Source organism: Homo sapiens, chromosome 6 (genome assembly GCF_000001405.40).
Source record: "Homo sapiens chromosome 6, GRCh38.p14 Primary Assembly".
Taxonomy (NCBI): domain Eukaryota; kingdom Metazoa; phylum Chordata; class Mammalia; order Primates; family Hominidae; genus Homo; species Homo sapiens.
Window position 1 is genome coordinate 72,627,554 of NC_000006.12, and position 13,442 is coordinate 72,640,995.

The following is a 13,442-nucleotide window of genomic DNA, read 5'->3' on the forward strand; positions in this document are numbered from 1 at the left end:
TGGCCTTTGCTGCTGCAGCTTCAGTGGAGTGCTAAGAGTCATAAATATGATTCAAGTGGACTGAGGAGTGGTTAAGACTTGGGAAAATGGACCCAGTAGTGTAGGTTAGACTCCAGATTCCTTGGAAGAGTTCACACAAGACCCTCAGGGCATAGACTACTATATAGCTACTCCCCTCTAATATGCACTCTAAGCCCCACCCTTACTGCACTGCTCCACCCTGTGTCTCACCACCATGTGTTTGCTCATGCTGTTCTCTTGGCTTCTCCCCACATCTTGCACCCTTGCTATTAAACTCCTAATGTTTCTTCAAAGTACAGTTCAAAGATCACTTCCTCTTGGGCATATTTCCAAACAGTTCCCTTCCCTCTGCCAGGATGAGTTAGGTGCCCCTTCTTTCAGGTTCCATGGCACTCTACCAATGTCATTATAATGGTGCTTCCCCCATTGTACTGTCATCGTGGGCTACTTGGTCTGTCTCTCCCACATGACAGCAAGCTTCCATACAGTGAAATTTCTACTTATTTCTAAATATTAAGTGCCTAACAAGGTGCCTTGTGTCTAGTAGACCCTCCATAAATGCATGCTTAACTGAGTAAGTAAATAATTTTTCTTATAAGCCTTCCACAGAGGAGCTTCAGGGTGAGCCGAAGCTGAAAGAACTACCAAGTCTTTTCAGTTTTCTTAGACGTAAGATACTGACGATTCATTTAAAAGAAAAAAGATATGGGACTAGAAGTAGGAGATTAGTGCTTTGCTTGTAGCTTTGCCACTAATTAATTCTGTAAGTCATTTCACACATCTGGGTCTCCAAATCTTCATCTGTGATATGGGCACAATCGTGTCTGTGATCCGAGATGGTGGAGGATACTGTAGAGAGTCTAAAATGCTATCATTAAAGAGAAAGAGTATTTGGAATAAGAAGCAATCTGATCCTTTTATCATTTCCTTTCCTCTTCTCTGAGCTTGAGGGTTGCCTCTTAACTAGTTGCTTTAACTTAATTCCTAAATCCCCAAGGTCTCTGTGCTACATAGTAGCCAAAGTTATCTTTCTTTCTTTCTTTTTGTTAGTTTGAGATGGAGCCTCACTCCGTTGCCCAGGCTGGAGTGCAGTGGTGTGATCTCAGCTCACTCCAACCTCAGCTTCCCAAGTTCAAGCGATTTTGCTGCCTCAGCCTCCTGAGTAGCTGGGATTACAGACGTGCGCCACCATACCTGGCTAATTGTTTTTGTATTTTTAGTAGAGATGGGGTTTCGCTATGTTGGCCAGGCTGGTCTCATTCTCCTGACCTCAAGTGGTCTGCCCACCTCAGCCTCCCAAAGTGCTGGGATTACAGGCATGAGCCACCACACCTGGCCCAAAGTGATCTTCCTAAAGACTTAACAGAACACATCACTCCTCCTCTGCTTGGAGGAGGATCTGTTTATTGCTTGTCTCTCCCCTCAACCCCAATTCTTTAAAGGCAGGGGTTTCTGTCTTATTATTATATCACCAGCACCCAGAACACTGCCTGTCACATAAAAGATGCTCCATGCATACATACTGATTCATTTACTGACACCCCAGATCTCCAAAATACACTATTAGTTCCCTTGTGGCAGATGGAATTTTACTCTGTTGGCCATTCTATGTGTCAGACTCAATTAGACCTAATGAATTACTTTACTACCTACATATATATTCTATTCTGAATTAAGTTTATGTCTGTAGAGACTGATGTTTACATATTCTTTTTGCTCCTGCATTCCTTTAAAAAATCACTGATTTCTCTTAAGTCTACAGAGGCCTTGTAGAAGTTATACTGCTTTATACTGTGCTGATATATAAAATGTTTCATACTCTTCTAATCAGTCTTTAGAAATCTAAACAATGCTATTGTACTTGAAGACCATATTACAATTAGAAATGTTGAAAAGTGTTACAATATTAGTACTGGGAATATGATAGCCTAAAAGGAAAGAAATGAAAAGGGTATTTCAAAATGAAACGAAGGACTGATACAAAAAAACACTATAAACAAGAAAGATAGCCAGCAGCCTTCTGAAAATTGCTTGCAAAGAAGTAGCGCCAGTTTTAATTTTTAATTGCAAATGGCTATTTTGGCAGATGAAAATGCCAGCAGAGCATGTTTTATCCTAGCCCAATGGTGTGAAACTACTTGAAGCCCAATTGTTGAACAGTCACAGCTCATAGTTATCTTTAATATGTATGTGTTTTCATTTTAATTTCCTTTTTCTTCAGCCATTTATGAGTGCGTTATTTGAAGTTTTATTTGGTTGCAACCTGGGAGAAAGATTGGCCACACATCTGCACTTTTTTTCATAATTAAAGAAATTCTTTGATGGTCTCAGAGTTTCAGGTGATCTTTTAATCCTTTGCAATCAGTGTGTCTGAAGAGTGAGCTTCCCAAATGTTATTAAAGTCATCAATTTCTAAACTTAAAAATAGCTTGAAGTTTTTCATCATATACATTTGTGTATTGTGCATATATATTTCATACTCATACAAATACACATGCAACATAAGCACATACATACTGTTATCTTTTAGCAGAGAATTTGTGTTAGTGTAAATATTTCTATTTCCCTTTGTTTTGATCCTCTAAAAGTAAAAAACACTTGAATAAAATGCAATTTAGAAATAAAAAGAACATTAAATTTACTCTTGATAATATAGAGCTTATCTCTTAATTTGAAAGATAATTAAATTTTTACATGATGAAGAGATATACACCTTTTACAAACTCAGTCATAGTGGTCATTGTTCTCATTTATTGTACCTGTGAGGTAATTCTAGAATCCCTATTCCTTCTTCAGTCAGTGGCTGGATAATCTAATTATAATGTTATAATCCATCATTTCTCTTTTTGAACAGTCAATTTAGTTTAACATTTGCTTAACAGCCATTATGTATGCCAGGTAATGTGCTAGATGCTGGTGGTTCAAAGAAAGGAACGATGTGGACCTGACCTCAAAGAAATCCATTGGAGAATATGACAGATTTAGATTTAATGATCAACTTTACTTTTCCTATACAGGTACCAGTTTCTTAATCTATAAAATATCAGTACCAGTTTCTTAATCTATAAAATAGAAATAAAATATTACTTCAAGGTGTTATATGTATAGTATATGTGTACATAATGTTTAATATATACATATTAACAGTTAGCATGGTGGCTCTCGCTGAAACTAGAGGGAAAAATAGAGACAATGTGCTGGAAGGCTGTATTTATATGATAAAGGTCTAGGATTTTATCCTATATGTGATGGGCAATCTTTGAGGAAGATAGGATTTAGGCAAATAATAATGTCATTGGATTTCCATTTTAGATTGGTGATTCTACTAGCTCTATCAGTGATGGCTTGAGGGAGACAAAACTGGAGGTAGAGGATAAATTTTAAAACTGTTGTTCCAACTTAAGCAAGAGATAATTAGGACTTAGACTGGGGCAGTGGTAGGAAGGATGGGGGAAAGGTGTGACAATAGAGTTGAAATGTATTAGTGAATGATTGAATGTGGAAGATTAAGAGATACAGATTTGTTATTTCCAGATTATTGGATTGGGTGCTTGGGTAAATAGTGGTGCTATTAACTGAAATCAATAGAGGTGGAACAACAGGTTGGCGAATTGCAGGGGTGATAAAATGAGTTTAGCTTTGGAAATGCTGAGCTTTTGGTGCCTGTGGGAATTCCAACTATAAATGTACAGCAGCTCTTGGATGATGATTTAAAAGACATAAAATACAGACAGGAGTTATAATCACGAGGAAGGCAAATAAAGATAAAGGGTAGGAGGTCAAGGATGGAAATCTGGAGAATACCAACATTTAATTGATAAGCAAAGGAAACAAGGAATGAAATGGAGTAGACAGGAGGCTATAAGGAAACACTAGACAAAAAGATGGTCAGGGTTGTGGAAACAAAGGGTATTGAGAGAGTTTCAAAAAAAAATAAAAGTAACCAATTCTGAAATGTAGAGAGTGGTTTAGTAAGATAAAGATCCATCAGAAATTACCATTGGATCTGGCAATGTGGAATTCTTCAGTGATGTTATAAACTCATCAGTGTTAACCTTCAGTGAAGCAGTGAGGGCAGAGGCAGATTGCTGTTAGCTGAGAAATGAATCAGAAGTGAGGAGAGGAAACAGCATATTTAGGCCATATGTTCACTTAGTTTGGCAAGAATAAAAGGGAGATTGGACACTAGCTACAAGGAAATACAAGGCTAAAAGGAAAATCAAGAGAGAATAAAGTTATAGAGAAGAAGTTTTTTTATCACAAATAATAGTCATTTTAATGATTATGTGCTGGACATTGTTCTAAATTCTTTATGCACATTAATTCTTTTATTCCTCCGAATAACCCTAATAAGTAATATTAGTGTTATCATCTTCCTTTCAGCAAACCAGAATACCAAAGTAGGGGGAGGTTTAGTAACCTGTCCAAAGTCAGCTTCTGAGTTAATGGCAGAACAGGGCTTTGAACCAAGGCAGGTTGGCTGAGAGCCACACATGCTTAGCCACTATATTTTATTTCCTTTACTTTGCCTGTTAGAGTTTTAGATTTTTTCTTTCTTTCTTTCTTTTTTTTTTTTTTTTTGAGACGGAGTCTCACTCTATTGCCCAGGCTGGAGTTCGGTGGCGCGATCCCCGCTCACTGCAAGCTCCGCCTCCTGGGTTCACACCATTCTCCCGCCTCAGCCTCCCAAGTAGCAGGGACTACAGGCGCCCGCGACCACCCCTGGCTAATTTTGTTTTTGTATTTTTAGTAGAGACGGGGTTTCACCGTGTTAGCCAGGATGGTCTCCATCTCCTGACCTCGTGATCCGCCCGCCTCAGCCTCCCAAAGTGCTGGGATTACAGGCGTGAGCCACCGCGCCTGGCCAGTTTTTTTTTCTTTTTTTAAAAAATCAACTTTTATTTTAGAGACGGGGGTACTTGTGCAGGTTTGTTACATGGGTATATTGCATCCAGGTAGTGAGCATAGTACCCAATTGTTAGTTTTTCAACCCATGGCTCTTCTCTTCCTCCCGCTTCTAGTAGTCCCAAGTGTATATTGTTCCCATGTTTACATCTTTATGTGCTTAGTATTTATCTTCACACTTCTAAGTGAGAATATGTGGTACTTGGTTTTCTTTTCTTACATTAATTCACTTAGGATTATCGCTTCCAGCTACATCCATGTTGCGGCAAAGGACATGATTTCATTCTTTTTTATGGCTGCATAGAATTCTATGGTGTATATGTACCATTTTTTTTTTTTATCCAAACCACCATTGATGGGCACCTAGGTTGATTCCATGTCCTTGCTATTGTGAGTAGCATGGCAATGAACATATGAGTGTGTGTGTCTTTTTGGTATGATGATCTATTTCCTTTGGGTATATACCCAGTAATGGGATTGCTGGGTGAAATGGTAGTTCTGTTTTAATTTATTTGAGAAATCTCCAAATTGCTTTCCACAGTGACTCAACTAATTTACATTCCCACTAACAGTGTATAGGTGGTCCCTTTTCTCTGCAGTCTCACCAGCATCTGTTGTTTTTTGGCTTTTTAATAATAATCATTCTGATGGTATGAGGTGGTATCTCATTGTGGTTTTGATTTGAACTTCTCTGAGGATTAGTGATGATGAGCATTTTTTCATATGCTTGGGGGCCACTCGTATGTCTTCTTTTGAGAAGTGTCTGTTCATGTTCTTTGCCCACTTTTTAATGGGGTTGTTTTTTGCTTGTTGATTTGTTTAAGTTCATAGACTTCGGATATTAGAGCTTTGTCAGATGCATAGATTGTGAATATTTTCTCCCATTTTGTAAGTTGTCTGTTTATAAATCGGAGACGACACAAATAAATGGAAAAACATTCCATGCTCATGGATTGGAAGAATCAATATTGTTAACATGGCCACACTGCCCAAAGCAATTTACAGATTCAATGTTATTCCTGTCAAACTACAATGCCATTCTTCACAGAATTAGATAAAACTATTCTAACATTCATATGGAACCAAAAAAGAACCCGAATAGCCAAAGCAATCCTAAGCAAAAAGAACAAAGCTGGAGGCATCACTATCTGACTTCAAACTATAAGGCTATACCAAACAAAACAGTGTGGTACTCATACAAAAACAGACACATAGATCAATGGAACAGAATAGAAAATTCAGAAATAAAGTGGCACACTTACGATCTGATCTTCAATAAGGCCAACAAAAACAAGTAATGGGGAGAGGGCTCCCCAGTTCAATAAATGGTGCTGGGATAACTGGCTAGCCATATGCAGAAGAATTAAACTGGACCCCTACCTTTCACCATATACAAAAATTATCTCAAGATGGATTAAAGATTTAAATATAAGACCTCAAACTAGAAAAATCCTAGAAGAGAACCTAAGAAATAGTTTTCTCAACATCAGCCTTGGCAAAGAATTTTTGACTAAGTCCCCAAAAGCAACTGAAGCAAAACCAAGAATTGACAAGTGGGACCTAATTAAACTAAAGAGCTTAGGCTGCTATAATCTTGATTGTGGATGGTACGTGTGGGCCCAGGGCTCCTCATATCAGATGGGTAGAGTAATTATAAAAACTACTTTGGGGTCTAGTATAGCTCTCAGCAAAATAGTGTATGCACAATAAATGTTTGTTGAATAAATGAATTATAGTTAAAATGCCTTATTACCTAGAATCAAGGAATTACTTTTAACTTTGTACTAAGCATGTTTGTTTCTCTGCCTTCACATTCTAACCAGCTTAAGTTCTAATTTTTCTTTAAATATTTTTCTGACGTGCTAGCTTATTTTCTTATCATTATGCACCTCCCATAGCCTTTATTATTTGGATTATGTATTTTATTCCTTAATTACATTATTACATTGTATTCTAATTTGGTTTTTATCTAATTCTTTGCAAATAGTTTGTGTATGTAAAGAAACCAAAGTACCCTCTTTTTTTGTATCCTATATAGGGCATTATGCCCAGGTTTTCATTCTTTTGGTTTTGTTTGTTTGCTTTTGTTTGTTTGTTTGTTTTAGAGACAGAGAGTCACTCTGTTGCCCAGGCTGGAGTGCAGTGGTGTGATTTCGGCTCACTGCAACCTCCACCTCCCAGGTTCAAGCAATTCTCCTGCCTCAGCCTCCCGAGTAGCTGGGATTATAGGCTCCCGCCACCACGCCTGGCTAATATTTTTGTATTTTTAGTAGAGATGGGGTTTTGTTATGTTGACCAGGCTGGTCTCGAACTCCTGACCTCAGGTGATCCACCTGCCTCAGCCTCCCAAAGTGCTGGGATTACAGGCGTGAGCCACTGCGCCCGGCCTTCATTCTTTATTTTTAATCAAAATTCACCTAGCTTATTACCACTAGTGGAACTATTTGAATGTTTTAACTTTATATTTCCAAACAGGAATTTCCTTAAATTCTACTAGTTCGTATTGCGTAGCAACTTATATTGATTATCTGAATAATAATTTGTTCCCCTCACCCTTTTTTTTTTTTTTGAGACAGAGTCTCTGTCACCCAGGCTAGAGTGCAGTTGTACAATCACAGCTCACTGCAGCCTCCATCACCCACACTCAAGCAATTCTCCCACCTCAGCCTCTTGAGTAGCTGAGACCACAGGCACAGACCACCATGCCCAGCTAATTTTTTTTTTATTATTTGTAGAGACAGGGTCTCACTATGTTGCTCAGGCTGGTTTTGAACTCCTGGGCTCAAGCAATCCTCCCGCCTTGGCCTCACAAAGTGCTGGGATTATAGGAATGAGCTGCTGTGCTTGGCCCTGAATAATAATTTCTTAATGTAATTTCCTATAAACATTAAATTCCCAATTTATACAGTCATCATGGAATACCTAAGATTCACTACAAAATAGCATCATTGCTTTGTTTAAGTCTCATAATGGCTGAATATAGAACATGTTTACTCCAAACTGATTTTTTGATTTTTTTCTTCTCTTTAAAATAATAAATACTCATTTTCTTTACACTAGTGTGAATACATTTCATTCAGCTTCCATGCTTTTCTCTCTCCCCTTCCACATTTACATTTTCCCTGGATGTTTCTTACTTTCCCTTTCCCCTTGGTCTTATTGTATTTTTCTTCCAGTTAAATTGCTCCTAGTTTTTTTTTTTTTTTTTTTTTTTTCCTTTCTCTCTGTGCTTCTACCTTTCTGGAATGGTGTTTCTCCCCATTTCTTTGTACAAAATGTTGCTTTCTTTTCCTCTGAAAGCTGTCTGTTCTTAAGAGATGCATTGAATTTCTAATTACATGCTCTAAGAGTGTACTGCCTACGTAGACTGGGTACCTAATTTACATATTGCTCTATGGTAATTAATAGAGACTTCTAGAAAATGTGGATTTTAGAAATATAAGGGGAGAACCCTATTTTTCTTAGGGTTTTAGTTATGCTCAAATTTCTTAGAAAATAAGGAGTGAAGCCTTAAAATCGCTGAAGTTTTCTAATATCTATATATTATTTCTGAAATTTGGGAATAGTCAGATATTCAGTGAATAATTTTAAAAGTTTTTACCTTCTGTTTTGGAAGTTGACTACTTTGAAAGTTGACTATATACTTTGGAAGTATATAGTTAAGAAATAAATTAGAAATTAGTTTTTATGCCATGTGGAATTATTATATAAAAATGCACAATAAAGAAGTCCAAATATATTTGTAACATAGTTAAATATCAGTTAAAAATATTTACCCCAGTGGCTGTTATAATCATTAGGAGTTTCTTTACTCAGTGAGCCAAGAATAGATCTATAATCTGGCATCACAGAGCTGTACTTTTTCTGTTTTATTGAGAGGTTAAAGCATGGTCTCAAAATGCAAATGTATCATAGGAGTACATAGGAGATAGAAAACCACCTGCATTTTTTTCTGGTTGAAAATGTTTCCAAAGCATAGACCTTGTGAAAGCGATTCTCATAACCTTTTCTAGAATGAAAAACAAGTTTAAGGCTTCTATTTCTCTAAACCTGTTTTCTCTCACACCTGAATGAATCTAGGAGGATTGAATGGAGTTGAGAATTTAGATTCTTCTCCCCGTGTTTTGAGTCATTGGCTACATTTCTCAGCTTTCTGGTTTGTAAAATTAGGATATAATTCTTCAATGTTTGTTTAATAACCTGACCTCTTGCTAAGTGTAAGACCCTAGAGTAGGAACTATAGGGCTTAACATAAATAAGACATAGCATATTCCCTCAAGAAATTTTCATCTAGAAAGATATTCATTTACTGTTTACTGAGCCTCAAAAACCATCTCTCTGAATTGACTTAGGATAAAAGCAAAGTTTGGCCTTTCTCCAGTGGCATTTAGCTATTGCTCCTTTTGAAGGGATTTACAAGGTAAACTCCAGGATCACCATGTACAGAACTGCTGATTGCCAGTTCTCTTGACCCCTTGGGAAACTTTGGAGCTCGGCGTTCAGCTGCCTGTGCAAGTGGGCGTTCTGCTCAGGGCATTCCCACACTGAGACCAACACAGGAGTTCCCACTCATCATAGTAATTTCTAAACAGTAGTAATTAAACTAGTTAAACTAAATGTTCTAGTTAATAAAACATTCTGAGTATGTTTAATTTGCTCCAAAGTATTTTAAAAAATAAGAAAGAAACCAATGCTGTTTCATAATACTTTGTTTGGAGATGTTATTTTTTTCTCCCTAAATGGGTTAAGAACAACAGTATAAACCAAAAGTTGTGTTTTTTTTTAACAAAATGAAGTGTCTGTTTATTTTCAGTATACACTTTAAGCTTCTAATATTGTTCACTTAATTCTATTACATGAAAGGAAAATATTATACCTAGCCTTCCAAGAACACAATATGCAGTGGACACTCAAATATTGAATGAGTGAGTGCCCACTGCATATTGTGTTATTGGAACACTTTGGAAACACTTCTTCCATTTGTTCAACTTTCTCCAGTCATGTGGAAAATGGCTTTTTTCTTCAACTAAGAGTGGTACTTCCCAGTGCAGCTAAGGTCAAAAAGTGTTAGAAATGTGTGTTCATTGCAATCTCTAAAGTGCTTTTTATCCATCTTTTAAAGACTACATACTTCAAATGGATTTCAGACCTAGATCAGCAGTCAGATTAAAGAATTGCAAAGTGAGATTAAACTAGTTTTAAATTTATCATGCCTGATGATAAAATTCTATAGTTCTGTTTTGGTATGTCAAATGGAAAAGGCAGAGAAATTGATTGGCAATCCAAATGACATTTGGGAACTCACTTAGAACCTTCAAGATAGGATCCTGAACCCAAGGAGCACCTACTCTTATTCATCTAGTCCTTGACATAGAAGAAATTACAGTTTGTTTTGGGGAAACAGTTTTAACAAGCTCGAACATTCAAATTTGCCTTCAAGTATTTTTCTCTAGAAGAAACCCGGGTAAGTTCCCTTAGCTTCAGATCCATCAAGGAATAAACAAAATGAGATGGGTTAGGATCTTCCCAAACGAAGCAGCTACCCTAGTTATGTAGGTCCTACTTTAGTTGTGCACTGAGATCGTCCTGCAATCCTTCCAAAGGTAGGACAGGAAGCATAATAGGAAAGAAAACTATGTAGTCATCATATTTGTGCCAATCGTGTGGACTCCTATACAGTAGTTCAGGCTACCAGTTTGGTTGGGCCATGCTTCAGTAGCCCATTATTCCTTTCACTCAGTAGAATGGCTCCAGTTATTCCTCTGAAATTGGAAGTTAGAGTTTCACAGTATCTCTAGCAGGAAAGATTGCCTTACATGGTTCCAGATCTTTTACATCTAGTATTGGACTTGATGAGCTACTTTACAATTACATTTCCTAAACTAGTTGGGTCATGCTGCTGAGAGCTGTTTTCCAGAGCTAGTGGGTATGGAGTTTTCTTCCAGGCTTCAGGGCAGGAAGTGGATAATAAAAATACATTTATAGATGGCGCTAAGTGAGGTAGCCTAGACAACCATAAATAAGAATAATCAAACCATCACGTTGTACTGGAGAAGACAGAATATTCCTCTAATTGAAGGGTAGCTATCATAATTTAAAATTGTCATCATGAAGGATTGTACTTTTTTTCTCCAAAACAGGTTAAAGGCAAATACCTATTTTTTTTTTGGTTTCTTGTTGATTCAAATTCCCTTTCCACACTGCAATCTTAGTATAGATTTCTGGAGCACATGATAATATATTTAAAAGAGCTATTCACAATAAATCTGTTATGTTTTTGTACTTGTTTCAAGGGTGACATGTAAAGTTAGTGGTTGCTCTACAGTAAGCATCTGGTAGTGGAGCGGCAGTGCAGCATGACAAGGACCTGGACTGCAGTGTCAGCCCTGGGAATGTGCAGAAACGGAGAATAGGAGAAAATTCAAAGGGAGGACTGGAGTTCTTAGCTCTCCATTGGCTTCTGGTTGGCAAAAGAGATGAAAGAATCAAAATGTTCTTGGTTCCAAGCAAGTGTGACTGTGACCACGCAGAAGTTACTCAATTCTGTTTTAGGTAAAGAACAAGCACAAGTAGACATGTGGCCTGTTTGGGCTTTGGGAAAGACAGGGGATCATCAGTTACCAATGTAGAGTGATGGAGAAGAAATAAGGTCCTTGGAGAAGAGTGTATGGAAAAAGATTTAGGGAATACTGGCATCTTGGGAAATGAGAAGAGAAAGATTTGCAAAAGGGACAAAGAAGAGAAAAACTAGGAAAATACAACATCCACAGGAAGACTGTCTCTCAAAGGATTGCAATGGGATAAAAGTATTACAAAGAAAAGAAGTGAAAATGTGTGATGATGTAGAAAGCCAGGATAGAAGGCGAGGGGCCAGAACCTAGAAGAAAACTTTGCCATCTAGGAGTGGACAGCATGTGCAGTGCCATGTGTTAGGAGGACATCCAATTTCACAGGAAACATGATGTCCTGGAAAAAAAGGCCAGAACAACCCAGCAACTAGGTGGTGTGCAGACATAGCAATCAGTTTTTCAAAAGGGACCATGCAGGGTGAGGGGTGTCCCTGAAAGTATCACTGTATAACTAGGATGGGGACTCCAGAAGAGAGGGTGATATTTAGAGAGCCTCGAATGAAACCAGGGATATCTGGTTGGAAAGCAATCTTGCAGTCTCTAAGAGAGATGCTGATAAGTGCAAAGCAGTTCTAAAGAGCTTGAGATAATGCACCAAACGGTGCTTGCAGGGGAGAAGGGAGACAGATTAGGGTGCATAATTGATAAATAAATGGGTAAAGAGAGAGGGAGAATGGTAGATTAGGAATCAACAAAGTAAAGCTAAACTTTTATTTCTCCAAGCAGCTGGAGGTCTGTACAAATAAAAAAGCCTCAGGAACCCCCTTCCCTGAGAAGTGGAAAGATTAAAGTAATTGAGAATAACAAGATCCTGGAGTTATGGTAAATAAAAGTTTAGGTTGGTTAAAAAAAAAGTTTGGAATGGCAACATTGGGAGCTATGATAAGGCAACATTAAGAGATAAATAACGCGATGTCTTGACAACTGCAAAGGCCCTGATAGAGTTCAGGCATGATCACGTAGAAGGCTACCTGGTGTGTGAGATTGTGAGAATTTCTCTAACAGTAGTGTGCAGGGTAAATTTTAAAAAGCAGATGGAGCCCTAACCCAAGGCTGGCAACTTTGTAGCCAAAGTAAAGGGAATGAGAAATTTTCTAGAAGTCACACACACTGAACATGTGTGACCTTGACCTTGGGCAAATCGTAAACCCCTCCAAGCACCAACCATCTGATAAATGTGGAAATAAGGAGACAAAGTGTTAAAGCTCCTTATATAATTGCTGGGCAAAAAAAAAAAAAGTAATTTTTATACTTTGTAACCATATATAGTCTATAGCCTCTTCAGAGGAGGAAATGCTGCAATAATAGACACATGTGAAAAAACATGTGTTCAACGAATAAATAAGTGAATAAGTGAATTAGCATAACACTTATTTAACAACAACATTGTATTTGGTGCCAAGATTATAGAGCCAGATATTTCCTGTTGTGTGTACAAGTTCTGTGAGCTTGAACAAAAAGATTTTTCTTCAGAAATCAAGCCATATTTTATAATCTCTTTATTTTTGAGTGTATAGATAAAAACACACTCTTAAAGCAGGAACTACTGCTTTGACACATTTAAGTAATAGGATTAGAGAGCTGGAAGGACCTTTGGTGACCAACTCTAGTGCTATCTTTTTTAGATGGGAAAACAGCCTGCAAAAATGTTAAGTAGCTTCCTCAGGATCAAGTACTATTGGAGCCAGCATTGGTGGTCAATCCTGTATAGAAATGACTTCAGTTGTAGATCTGTGACCTTCCTTACTTACCTTCCTCTACCAAAGGTACTCTATAATTCTTAATAAATGAATATTGACATTCATTTTAAATACTATTGTTTGTTCAACTGTTCCATGAAGAATATTCTTTAAATAAGCATTGTAGTGCTAACAGGGAAAATATTTT

The 13,442-nt window shown here is 37.5% G+C and overlaps 1 protein-coding gene and 1 long non-coding RNA gene across 10 annotated transcripts in view; both read left to right on the forward strand.

Moving 5' to 3' along the window:
• The window catches only part of KCNQ5 (potassium voltage-gated channel subfamily Q member 5), a 576,790-nt gene that overhangs the window by 5,490 nt on the left and 557,858 nt on the right, over positions 1-13,442 (forward strand). The window lies entirely within an intron of this gene.
• Positions 2,942-13,442, forward strand: part of KCNQ5-IT1 (KCNQ5 intronic transcript 1) — a 48,064-nt gene continuing 37,563 nt past the window's right edge. The window contains exons 1-2 of the long non-coding RNA NR_120503.1: positions 2,942-3,038; positions 13,181-13,321. This is a non-coding gene — a long non-coding RNA (KCNQ5 intronic transcript 1). The remainder of the gene's footprint in view (positions 3,039-13,180; positions 13,322-13,442) is intronic.